Source organism: Homo sapiens, chromosome 5 (assembly GCF_000001405.40).
Source record: "Homo sapiens chromosome 5, GRCh38.p14 Primary Assembly".
Taxonomy (NCBI): Eukaryota; Metazoa; Chordata; class Mammalia; order Primates; family Hominidae; genus Homo; species Homo sapiens.
In genome coordinates this window covers 177,965,746-177,977,525 of record NC_000005.10, presented here as the reverse complement: position 1 = coordinate 177,977,525, position 11,780 = coordinate 177,965,746, and the positions used below count along the sequence as shown (strand labels likewise).

Genomic DNA, 11,780 nt, shown 5'->3' with positions numbered 1-11,780 from the left:
CACCATCTGTTATTTTTTTATTTTTTAATAATAGCCATTCTGACTGATACGATATGGTATCTCATTGTGGTTTTGATTTGCATTTCTTTAATGATCAGTAATATCGAGCTTTTCTTTTCTTTTCTTTTTTAAAGACAGAGTCTCGCTCTGTTTCACCCAGGCTGGAGCGCAGTGGTGCCATCTTGGCTCACTGCAACCCCCGCCTCCCGGTTCAAGCAGTTCTCCTGCCTCACCCTCCCGAGTAGCTGGGATTACAGACATGCATCACCACACTTAGCTAATTTTTGTATTTTTAGTAGAGACGGGTTGGGGGGGCGGGTTTCACCATGTTCGCCAGGCTGGTCTTGAACTGCCGACCTCAGGTGATACACCTGCCTTGGCCTCCCAAAGTGCTGGGATTACAGGCGTGAGCCACCGCGCCTAGCCAAGCTTTTTTTAATATGCTGGTTGGCCTCAAGTTTGTCTTCTTTTGAAAAGTGTTTGCTCATGCCCTTTGCTCACTTTGGAATATTGTTGTTTTATGGCCGGGTGCGGTGGCTCAGGCCTGTAATCCCAGCACTTTGGGAGGCTGAGGCCAGATCACCTGAGGTCAGAAGTTCGAGACCATCCTGGCCAACATGGCAAAACCTTATTTCTACTAAAAAAATACAAAAAATTAATGGCCTGGTGTGGTGGTGGATTACAGGTGGGTGCCTGTAATCCCAGCTACTCAGGAGGCTGAGACAGGAGAATTGCTTGACCCCAGGAGGCAGAGGTTGCAGTGAGCCGAGATTGTGTGCCATAGCACTTCAGCCTGGGCAACAGAGCGATACTCTGTCTCAAAAATAAAAAATAAATAAAAAATAAAATAAAGTTGCTTGGTTTTTTTCTTGGAAATTTGCTTAAGTTTTTTTCTTTTTTTTTTGAGATGGAGTCTTTCTCAGTCGCCCAGGCTGGAGTGCAGTGGTGCGATCTCAGCTCACTGCAAGCTCTGCCTGCCGGGTTCATGCCATTCTCCTGCCTCAGCCCCCCAAGTAGTTGGGACTACAGGCGCCCGCCACCACGCCCAGCTAATTTTTTTTGTTTTTGTTTTTTTTTTCAGTAGAGACGGGGTTTCACCATGTTAGCCAGGATGGTCTCTATCACCTGACCTCGTGATCCACCTGCCTCGGCCTCCCAAAGTACTGGGATTACAAGTGTGAGCCACTGCACCCAGCCTTAAGTTTCTTATAGATGCTGGATAGTAGACCTTTGTCACGTGTATAGTTTGCAAATATTTTCTCCTCTTCTGTAGGCTGTTTACTCTTGTTGATAGTTTCTTTTGCCATGCACAAGCTTTTTGGTTTAATTAGATCCCATTTGTCAATTTTTGCTTTTGTTGCAATTGTTTTTGGCGTCTTCATCACGATATCTTTGCCAGTTCCTATGTTCAAAATGGTATTACCTAGGTTGCCTTCCAGAGTTTTTATAGTTTTGGGTTTTCATTTAATTCTTTAATCCACCCTGAGTTGATTTTGTATATGGTGTAAGAAAGAGATCCAGTTTCAATCTTCTACATATGGCTAGCCCGTTATCTCAGCACCATTTATTGAATAGGAAGTCCTTTCTCCATTGCTTGTTTTTGTCAGCTTTGTTGAAGATCAGATGATCATAGGTATGTGGCCTTATTTCTAGATCCTCTATTCTGTTTCATTGGCCTATGTGTCTTTTTTTATACCAGTACCATGCTGTTTTGGTTACTATAGCCCTGTAGTGTAGTTTGAAGTTGGGTAGTGTGATGTTTCCAACTTTGTTCTTTTTGCTTAGAATTGTCTTGGCCATTTGGGATCCTTTTTGGTTCTATATAAACTTTGAAATAGTTTTTTATATTTCTGTGAAGAATATCATTAGTGGTTTGATAGGAATAGCATTGAATCTATAAATTGCTTTGGGCAATTTTTCTATCTATGAGTATGAAATGTTTTCCCATTTGTTTGTATCATCTCTAATTTCTTTGAGCAGTGTTGTATAATTCTCCTTGTAGAGATCTTTCACTTTCCTGGTTAGCTGTATTTCTAGGAGTGTGTGTGTGTGGTGATTGTGAATGGAATTGAGTTTTGATTTGGTTCCTGGTTTGGCTGTTGCTGGTGTATAAGAATGCTAGTGATTTTTTTTGTATGTTGATTTTGTATCCTGAAACTTTGCTGAAGTTGTTTATCAGCTTAAGAAGCTTTGGGGCCGAGAATATGGGGTTTTCCAGATGTAGAATCATGTTGTCTGCATCCTAATACCAAAACCTCGCAGAGACACAACAAAAAAGAAAACTTCAGGCCAATATCCTTGGTTAACATTGATGTAAAAATCCTCAACAAAATATTAGCACACCAAATCCAGCAGCATATCAAAAAGCTTGTCCACCATGATGAAGTAGGCTTCATCCTCAGGATGCAAGGCTGGTTCAACATATGCAAATCAATAAATGTGATTCATTGCATAAACAGAACTAAAGACAAAAACCACATGATCATATCAATAGATGCAGAAAAGGCTTTTGATAAAATTCAACATCCCTTCATATTAAAAACTCAATAAACTAGGTATTGCAGGAACATACCTCAAAATAACAAGAGCCATGGGCTGGGCACGGTGGCTCATGCCTGTAATCCCAGCACTTTGGGAGGCCGAAGTGGGCAGATCACCTGAGGTCAGGAGTTCGAGACCAGCCTGGCGAACATGGTAAAACCCCATTTCTACTAAAAATACAAAAAAAATTAGCCAGGATTGGTGGCACGTGCCTGTAATCACAGCTACTAGGTAGGCTGAGGCAGGAGAATCACTTGCACCCATTAGGCGGAGGTTGCAGTAAGCCAAGATCGTGCCATTGCACTCTAGCTTGGGCAAGAAGAGTGGAACTCCATCTCAAAAAATAAATAAATAACAAGAGCCATCTGTCACAAACCCACAGCCAACATCGTACTGAATGGACAAAAGGTGGAAGCATTCCCCTTGAAAACCAGCACAAGATAAGGATCACCTCTCTCACCACTCCTTTTCAACATTAGAAATCCTGGCCACAACAACCAGACAAGAGAAATGAATAAAGGGCATTCAAACAGGAAAAGAGGAGATCAGACACTTTTATAGGTAATGTGTTACATGCTTCGAATTTTCAGGTATAAGGTCTCATATTGCGGCACTACTCACAATAGCAAAGACTTGGAACCAACCCAAATGTCCAACAATGATAGACTGAATTAAGAAAATGTGGCATATATACACCATGGAATACTATGCAGCCATAAAAAAGGATGAGTTCATGTCCTTTGTAGGGACATGGATGAAGCTGGAAACCATCATTCTCAGCAAACTATCACAAGGACAAAACACCAAACACTGCATGTTCTCACTCATAGGTGGGAATTGAACAATGAGAACACTTGGACACAGTAAGGGGAACATCACACACCGGGGCCTGTTGTGGGGTGGGGGGAGGGGGGAGGGATAGCCTTAGGATATGCCTAATGTAAATGACGAGTTAATGGGTGCAGCACACCAACATGGCACATGTATACATATGTAACAAACCTGCACGTTGTGCACATGTACCCTAGAATTTAAAGTATAATAAAAATATATATATAAAATAAAATAAAAATAAATTTGAACAATTTTTATTCATAAAATATTTTGGAAAGGAACATAAAACATGGTAATAGTGGTTTTCTCTCGATTGGAGATAATTTTTTTTTTTATAACAGCGTCATTTATCCTGTTTTCTAAATAGGACTCCAACACCAGAAAAAAAAAAAAGAGGAAAAAACAGATTATAAGTTAAAACAAAAATCTATCTGTATAAGTCTTTACTTGTACAAGTCTGCACAAGTCAGTAAGTTCTGGTCTCTGTAGAGCCAGAACTTCAGAGAAGGTGATTTAATTGTCATCACAGCCCCCCAACTTGCTTTGGGGTTTGTACATCAAGAGACAACTTGAAGGGAATCACTTGAGACCAAAAGAATTATTTACAAAGAAAGATTTCCTGGAATGTGTAAGTTCTACTGATTGCCCATGGAGACGCTAACAGTTGCTCTAACCCCAAATTTTTTAAACATCTCAAGATGGCAACATGAGTATGGAAAACCCCAACACTCATCACCCAATGAATCATTTCTCCAATCATGGGAATGAGGGAAGGATGTAGGAAAGGCTGTTTCATCAGGACTCATTAGGGAGGGTGTCAGTGCAGAGGCAGCCACGGCAGAGCTTTCCTTGTCTTCAACCTGGGCCAAATGAAGCTCTGAGTGCTGAGGGCCTGACAACAAAGTTCTCCGCAGGTTTGGAATGGCCAATGTGCAATGATGGCATCAGCCACAAGAGTGAAACTTGAATCGTGCATGCGGGTCTATAGATCACTGATTACTGCACTATCAATCTCACCTCCCACCCATAAGAGATTACCCAGATAATCAGCCTGTGGCACATACTACTACTACCTACTTGGGAACAAGGGAGAGGAAGGAATTACAAATGAAAACTTCTGAAATGACCACTTCTTATTCCAGCTTAAGCTAGAATAAATGTTTGAATAAATCACCGCATTAAATAACATTTAAAATATGGTACCTTCAGCACATTATAAATATGAAATGTCCCCTCCCCCAACCCCATTTACTTCAGTGCACAGAGTCTCCCAGGCAAGCTTTTCCATCGCTCAGCCAGTGGAATGGATGGTGTGCACAGATGTTACACAAAGCATTTATTTCTCCAAGAAGGCTGAGAGCCAGGAGAATTCATCTCCTTCTGCTAGGACCTCTGCCCCAAGCTTCTGAGGAAATAGTGAATTGGACTCGACAGGGAAAGTAGCTACGTGATCCACTAATGAAAATGCACTGGACAGTGTATGCCTTCCTGCTCTTCTCCATGGCAGAGAGACTTAAAGATAATTAATAAAAATAGCTGTCCCTTCAAACTCAGAGGAGGTTTTCAAAAACAAGTATAAGCAAAAAACAAAGAAATAAAAGGAAAGTAAATCAAACCCCCCAATACTCCTGAAAGTAAAACAGTCTCATGGTGACTGATGTCTGGAAGAAGTTGAGGCAGAAAAGACTGAGGAAGTTGGAAGGGGCTGGCCACAAAAGTGCCTTAAAGAATCCACTACAATGCTCTCCATTTCTAAGGCTGAGTAGCTACTCCCAGTAAGTTAACATTTTTCTGTTAAGAAGAAAACAAAACAAAACAAAAATAAAACCCACTCCAGAAAAAGGGTCAAGAGAAGAGCACTGTAGAAAGTCAAGCAGCTGAGCGCCGGTGGATGACGAAGAGCCCGCGCTGAAGCTGGCCCAGGTAGATCCTCATCTTGGTGCTGTCACTTGTCTTCCTCACCCAGATCTCATTGGCTCCTACAGAACTGATCACGCAGCTCAGTTTCTGGTTGTCCTTTGACTCCAGATAGATGGCCTGGCTCTTGTGGTACCATCTTTTGTCATAGTGCAGTTTGCCATCTTCTATCCGAGCTTCAAACCTCTGGGCTGGAGATTCCGCGGGTGTCGCAGGCAAGTGCTCAGGAGAGGATGGAGATGCTGGTCTCTTGGGTGACTTAAGCTTATTTAATGTTCTCAGATCCTCCATGATCTGTTCATCTGTTAACAAATAGTTTAGCTGGGCTGGAGCAGGTTTCCTCCTCTTGTCTGGGATGGGGACGGGATCATTTGGTCGCCTCCGCAACTTTCTGGTCATGATAGGTCTCACCTGCATAGAATCTCCATTCAGTTCCATTGTCAGCATTTCGTTTTCAATCATTTTCTTCTCTTCTGCTAGCTCAGCAATCAGGTTCTCTTTCAGCTCAACCTTCTTGTCTTCAAATTCTTTCACTGCTGCCTTCTTTTCTTTCATGTAATTTCGTCCCACTTGTTCAGTTTCCAGCTGGAGGAAGAGTTCAGCATTCCGTATCCTCTCTTTGTACTGCTGACCTAGTTTTTTCATTCTCTTCTGATATTCCTGTAATGTACCTTCTTGTAGTTGTTGCAACTGCCTCTCGAGAGAAGCCAGTTTGTCCTGATACATCTGTTCCTTCACTTCCCCATAGTCTTCTTCATCATGCTTTGCCAGGTCAGTTTCACTAGCATCCTCAGTGTCTTCGTCCGACTCGCGGCCCGGCAGCTGCGCTCGTCGTCCTTGGCGCTCTCCAGCTCTTCGTCCTCCCCGGGGACGCTCCAGCCCGGGCGGGGCCGGGGCCAGCAGCCCCGCGGCGCTCATGTCGCCTCTGACCGCAGCTGAGCGTGGCCCACGGACACCGCGGCCACCCACGCTCGGTACTCGCCGTCTGCCTGGCGGTGTCCGAGGGGGCCCCCAACTCGAGGAGCGGCAGCCACTGCGACCCCTTCCCGTCTCCGCCGAGCTCCGCCCCCCGCCAACTTTTTTGTTTCTTTTTTCAAGATGGAGTTTCACTCTGTCACCCAGGCTGGAGAGCGGCGGCGCAATCTCAGCCCACTGCAACCTCTGCCTCCCGGGGTTAAGCACTTCTCCTGCCTCAGCCTCCTGAATAACTGCGATTACGGGCATCCACCACCACACCCGGCTAATTTTTGTATTTTCCGTAGAGACGGGGTTTCACCATGTTGGCCAGGCTGGTCTCAAACGCCTGACCTCAGGTTGATTCACCCACCTCAGCCTCCCAACGTGCTGGGATTACAGGCATGAGTCACCACTCCTGGCCAAACTTTTCTTTTTTAAAACTAAATGTTACTGTGTATATTTGAGGTGACAGCATGATGTCAAAGGTACACGTCAGTAGTAAAATGGTTACTATAGTCAGCAAGTTCACATACCTACCATCTCACATAGGTACTTTTTTGTGTGTCAAGGGCAGCGAAAATCTACTTACTCAACAAAAATCCCAAGACAGTGTCCTCATGTTATACATTAGGTCTCTGGCCTTGTTCATCCGACGTCTGCTACTTTGCGTGTTTTGGCCTTCATCTCCCCACTTCCTGCTGATTGTTTTTGTCGTCTTTGGAGAAATGTCTGTTCAGGTCTCTTGTTAGCTTTTTAACAGGGTTATTTGTCTGCTTAAGTTGTAAGGGTTCTTCATTGATTTTGGATATTAGCCCTTGATCAGTTAGTGACTTGCAAATATTTTTCCCAGTTTGTAGGTTGCCTTTTTTTGATTGTTTCCTTTGCTGCACAGAAGGGTTTTAGTTTGATGCGGTCCTCCTTGTTGACTTTTGCATGCAGCCTGGCTTTTGGTGGATTATCTGAAAAATCATTGCTAAGGCCAGCGTCGAGGGGGCTGTCCCCTACATTCTCTTCTAGGAGTTTCATGGTTTCATATCTTATTTATGTCTTTTATCTAGTTTGAGTTGATTTTCTATAGGGTGTAAGATAAGGGCCCAATTTCATGGTTTGGCCTGTGAAAATCCAGTTTTACAGCATCATTTATTGAAGAAACTGTCTTTTTTCCACTGTGTCCTCTTGGTTGCTCTTGTTGAAAGTTAGTTGACAGTGTATGTTTTGATTTATTTCTAGGCTTCTTATTCTGTTCCATTGGTCTATGTTTTTGTTTTGATGCCAATACCATATATTGTTCTTATTACTATAGCTTTGTATGTAATTTTAAATCACGTAGTGTTATGCCTCCAGCACTAATTTTTTTCCTCTGTATTGTGTTAGCTTGGGGTTTTTTGTGGTTCCATGTCAATTGCAGGATTGTATTTTTCTATGTCTGTGAAAAATGCGATTAGAATTTTGATAGGGATTGTCTTAAAAACTGTATATTTGCTTTGGATAGTATGCCATTTTAACAATTTTAATTCTTCCAATTCAGAAATGTGGGATGTTTTTACATTGTTTGTGTATTCTTAAATTTCTCTCATCGGTGTTTTATAGTTTTCAGTGTACTAGTCTTTCACCTTCTTGTCTAAATTTATTCCTAAGTATTTTATTTTGATTGGTGCTACTGTAAATGGGATTGTTTTCTTGATTTGTTTTTCAGCTAGATTGTTATTTGTGTATAGAAACGCTCCTGATTTTTGTATGTTGAGTTTGTATGCTGCAACTTTACTGAATTCATTTAGTTTTAACATTTTCTTATGGGAAATCTGAGGTTTTTTCATATGGATCATGTCATCTGCAAATAGAGATAATTTGTTTCTTTTTTTAGTTGCCTTTTTTTAAATTTGTCTAATTGCTCTTGCTAGTACTTCCAGTACCATGTTGAATAAAAGTGACAAGGCTAGGCATCCCTGTCTTGAACTCAATCTTAGTGGAAAGACTTTCAATTGTTCCCCATTGATTATGATGTTAGCTGTGGGTTTTTTAGAGGCGGCCTTTATTATTTAGAGGAGCTTTCTTTTCCATCCGTCTCAGCTCAGCCTGGGGACTTCCCATCAAGTGAGGCACTTGTTCAGCTCTTGCATTAGGGACTGTGATTTCTCTGGCTGACCAAGGCATTGATTCTCTGGAAAGCAGGGCACAAATCAGCTCAGGCCCCAACGGCTAGGGTGCCACAGCAACTGGGAGGGGCAGGACACAGCAGCATGGCCCCACAGGGTGGGGTGTATGCTACGGTGTGGATGTGGTTTGTCCCCACCAAAACACATGTTGAAATTTGATTCCCGATGTGGTGGTGGTGGGAGGTGGGGGCTAGTGGGAGGTATTTGGGTGATGGGCAGACCCTTCATGAATAGATGAACGCTGTCTCGTGGGACTGGATGAGTTACCAGGCGTGGGGTGTTATGGAAGTGAGTTTGGCTTCCTGGACCCTCTTGCTTCCTCTCTTGCCATGTGCTCTCCTTGCCTGTGCTGGTTTCCCCTTCCACGTTCTGCCAGGAGTTGGAGCAGCACAAGCCCCTCACCGTGTGCACTGCCCAATCTCAGACTTTCCAGTCACCAGAATATTGAGCCAAAAAAGCCTCTTTTTTAAAAATAAACTACCCAGTCTTGGCCTGGTGCGGTGGCTCACGCCTCTAATCGCAGGATTTTGGGAGGCCGAGGCGGGCGGATCACAAGGTCAGGAGATTGAGACCATCCTGGCCAACACAGTGAAACCCTGTCTCCGCTAAAAATACACAAAATTAGCTGGGCGTGGTGGCGGGCGCCTGTAGTCCCAGCTACTCGGGAGGCTGAGGCAGGAGAATGGCGTGAACCCAGGAGGCGTAGCTTGCAGTGAGCCAAGATTGCACCACTGCACTCCAGCCTGGGTGAGAGAGCGAGACTCTGTCTCAAAAAAAAAATAAAATTAATAATAATAATAAAATTACCCAGTCTTAGATATTCTGTTATAGCTGCACTGAACCTTAAGTACATTGAATTTTATTTGGGTCTCCTTAGTTTTACTTAGTTAATTTCATGGTTTTAAAGTCTTGTACATTTTTGCAGTCTTTAATAAGACAAAACGCTGAGATGTTGGACATTTGAATGCCAAAGGTGATATGAGACATTTAGCATTTCATATTTTGGGAATAGTACCTTATGATTGAAAACTGGGGCCAGGTGTGGTGGCTTATGCCTGTAATCCCAGCACTTTGGGAGGCCGAGGCAGGCAGATCACCTGAGATCTGGAGCTGGAGACCAGCCTGGCCAACGTGGCAAAACCCCGTCTCTGCTAAAAATACAAAAATTACCTGGGCATCACGTTGCATGCCTGTAATCCCAGCTACTTGGGAGGTTGAGGAAGGAGAATTGCTTGAACCTGGGATGCAAAGGTTGCAGTGAGGCGAGATTAGGCTCCGGCCTGGGTAACAGAGCCAGACTCCATCTTAAAAAAAAAAAAAAAAAAAGCGGGGGGAGAGAGAGAGAGAGAGAGATGAAAGAAGGAAGGGAGGGAGGAAGGAAAAAATTGGGTTTACAAGTATGAGCTACTATGCCTGGCCAAGTGCCCAGAGGCTGTGTGCTGTGGGGAGTGCGGTGCCCCGACTGAGGCAGGCACAGGGTCCCAGCTCCTGTTGTCAGATGTGACAGACTCTCGGAGAATGGGAAAGCAATGCCACTTTTCCCACAAATCACTTTTGCTTTGGAAAATATTTTTCACAAAAAGATGCTATTTATGTTGCTCTGTAATGGTCTTGTTTCTGTTATTTGAAAACAGATTAATAAATATTTTAAATGTGACTCAGCTTCCATTTCTTTTCATTGTTGTTAGTCATGGTTCCTTTTATTCTCTTTTCCCTCAGCTCTATTCAGGTATAACTGATCAACATTGTATATGTTTACACTTTACAATGTAAATTAAAATTAAATTTCTAAGCCCCTCAATGAACTGAACGGATCCTCCTCTCAGCCAAGGGGACCCAAATAAACCTGAAAACTTCATTCAGGCCATGAGGGAGAAGAGGGGTCGGGCACGCCTCAGTATTCCCTCCACCCTTTGTGGTTCAGACCCAACTGAGCAGCAGTGACATGAAAATAGAGATCCTAAGACTGACGGAAGAAACGCCTTGTAGCAATAAGATACCCAACTTCCAATGCGCTCTGGTATAGCATCACCTGAAAGCAGGTCCTGAAGGAAGTCTGAGTATTTTACCCCGAGACAGATTTCTCTGACATTTTTTGGAATGGCCCAACACAGCTGTCTCTTTGTGGGAAATTTGCAATCTGTAGAGCATATGGCTCCATCACTAGGTCTTTCCAGAAAGTCTGTTACCTTTTAAGTCCAATAAGAGACGTTTACGTCTATCCTCTCTGAAGCCCTCTGCCTGGAAGTGTCATTTACGTGACAAGAACCTTGGCTCCCACAACTTCCCAAACTCCCACCCCCGACCACACCATGTTACCTAATTGAAGCTGATTTCAACTTTTAAGACAGAGTTTAACCCTTTCAACCAACTGCCAATCAAGAAACCTTTGAATCCAACTGTGACCTGGAACCCACCCCCAGCACGCCACCCGATTCCCCAGACAGAAGGCATGGAAGCCATGCATCCAGGACCCCCCAGCCCCATACGCCTTGCTCTATGCAGATCATTTCTAATCAAATTGTAAATATAGCCCTTTTCTGAATTCTCTGAGTCATTTCTAGTGAAGTTTTGAACCTGAGGAAGTCATGGTAATCCTTGAATTTATAGCCAGTTTGTCAGAAGTGCAGGTGGCTTGGGGACTCCCAAAGTTCAGCTGGTGTCTGAAGTAAGGGCAGTTTTGTGGGACTCAGCTCTGGAGTTGTGGAATCTGGTGCTAACCCTGAGTGGTGAGGGTCGGAACTGCCTTGCAGTCCACCCGGTTAGGCTCCACATATACGCTGTGGAGTAATGGGGACGGCATTCCTTGTTGAGAAAGCTTACACCTGCAACTCTGCTGTCTAGGCGGAGTATAACACCAGCGGAAACAGACGTGGGCACAGACACACGGCCGCCCCACACAAATCCCACCCCACACAGACACACCCCACCGCCCACGCGCACAAACTCATACCAGCTAAAGGAAACGCAACTGCTTGTGGAAACACGGTCACAGTGCTTTACCTGGAAAATAATGTTCCTTCATCACCACCAATCCTCATTCTAACCAGAAAGCTGGAGTCAGGGTGGCTCCCCAGACGAAAGCCAGCAAGGAAGACTCACCTTCCCTATCATCTAGATTTCTCCTTCACAAGTGGCACATGCAGAATATGCATGAATTTTCCCCTCTGAGGCCACCTACAGTGACAGAAAAGAAGGCACTACAGTACCATAGGTTCCGATGTGTTCTCTAAGCACAGGTGGGTTTTTTTTTTTGTTGTTTGTTTGTTTGTTTCTTCCTGTTGACTTTATAAAACAAGAGGATAAATAGGGGTCAAGTCAAAGGAATCTATTTTTTTCTTTTTTCTTTTTTTTTTTTTTTGAGACAGAGTCTTG

At 43.7% G+C, this 11,780-nt stretch overlaps 1 pseudogene, besides 1 other annotated feature; it reads right to left on the bottom strand.

The window, feature by feature from the left end:
* SUDS3P1 (SDS3 homolog, SIN3A corepressor complex component pseudogene 1) lies at positions 3,705-6,346 on the bottom strand (annotated as a pseudogene).
* Positions 10,790-11,290: an enhancer, noted in NCBI's record as "H3K4me1 hESC enhancer chr5:177393237-177393737 (GRCh37/hg19 assembly coordinates)". NCBI's record gives its function as "activates a minimal SCP1, AML or CMV promoter by ChIP-STARR-seq in naive H9 embryonic stem cells {active_cell/tissue: H9 hESC(naive)}" and the evidence as "EXISTENCE:reporter gene assay evidence [ECO:0000049][PMID:30033119]".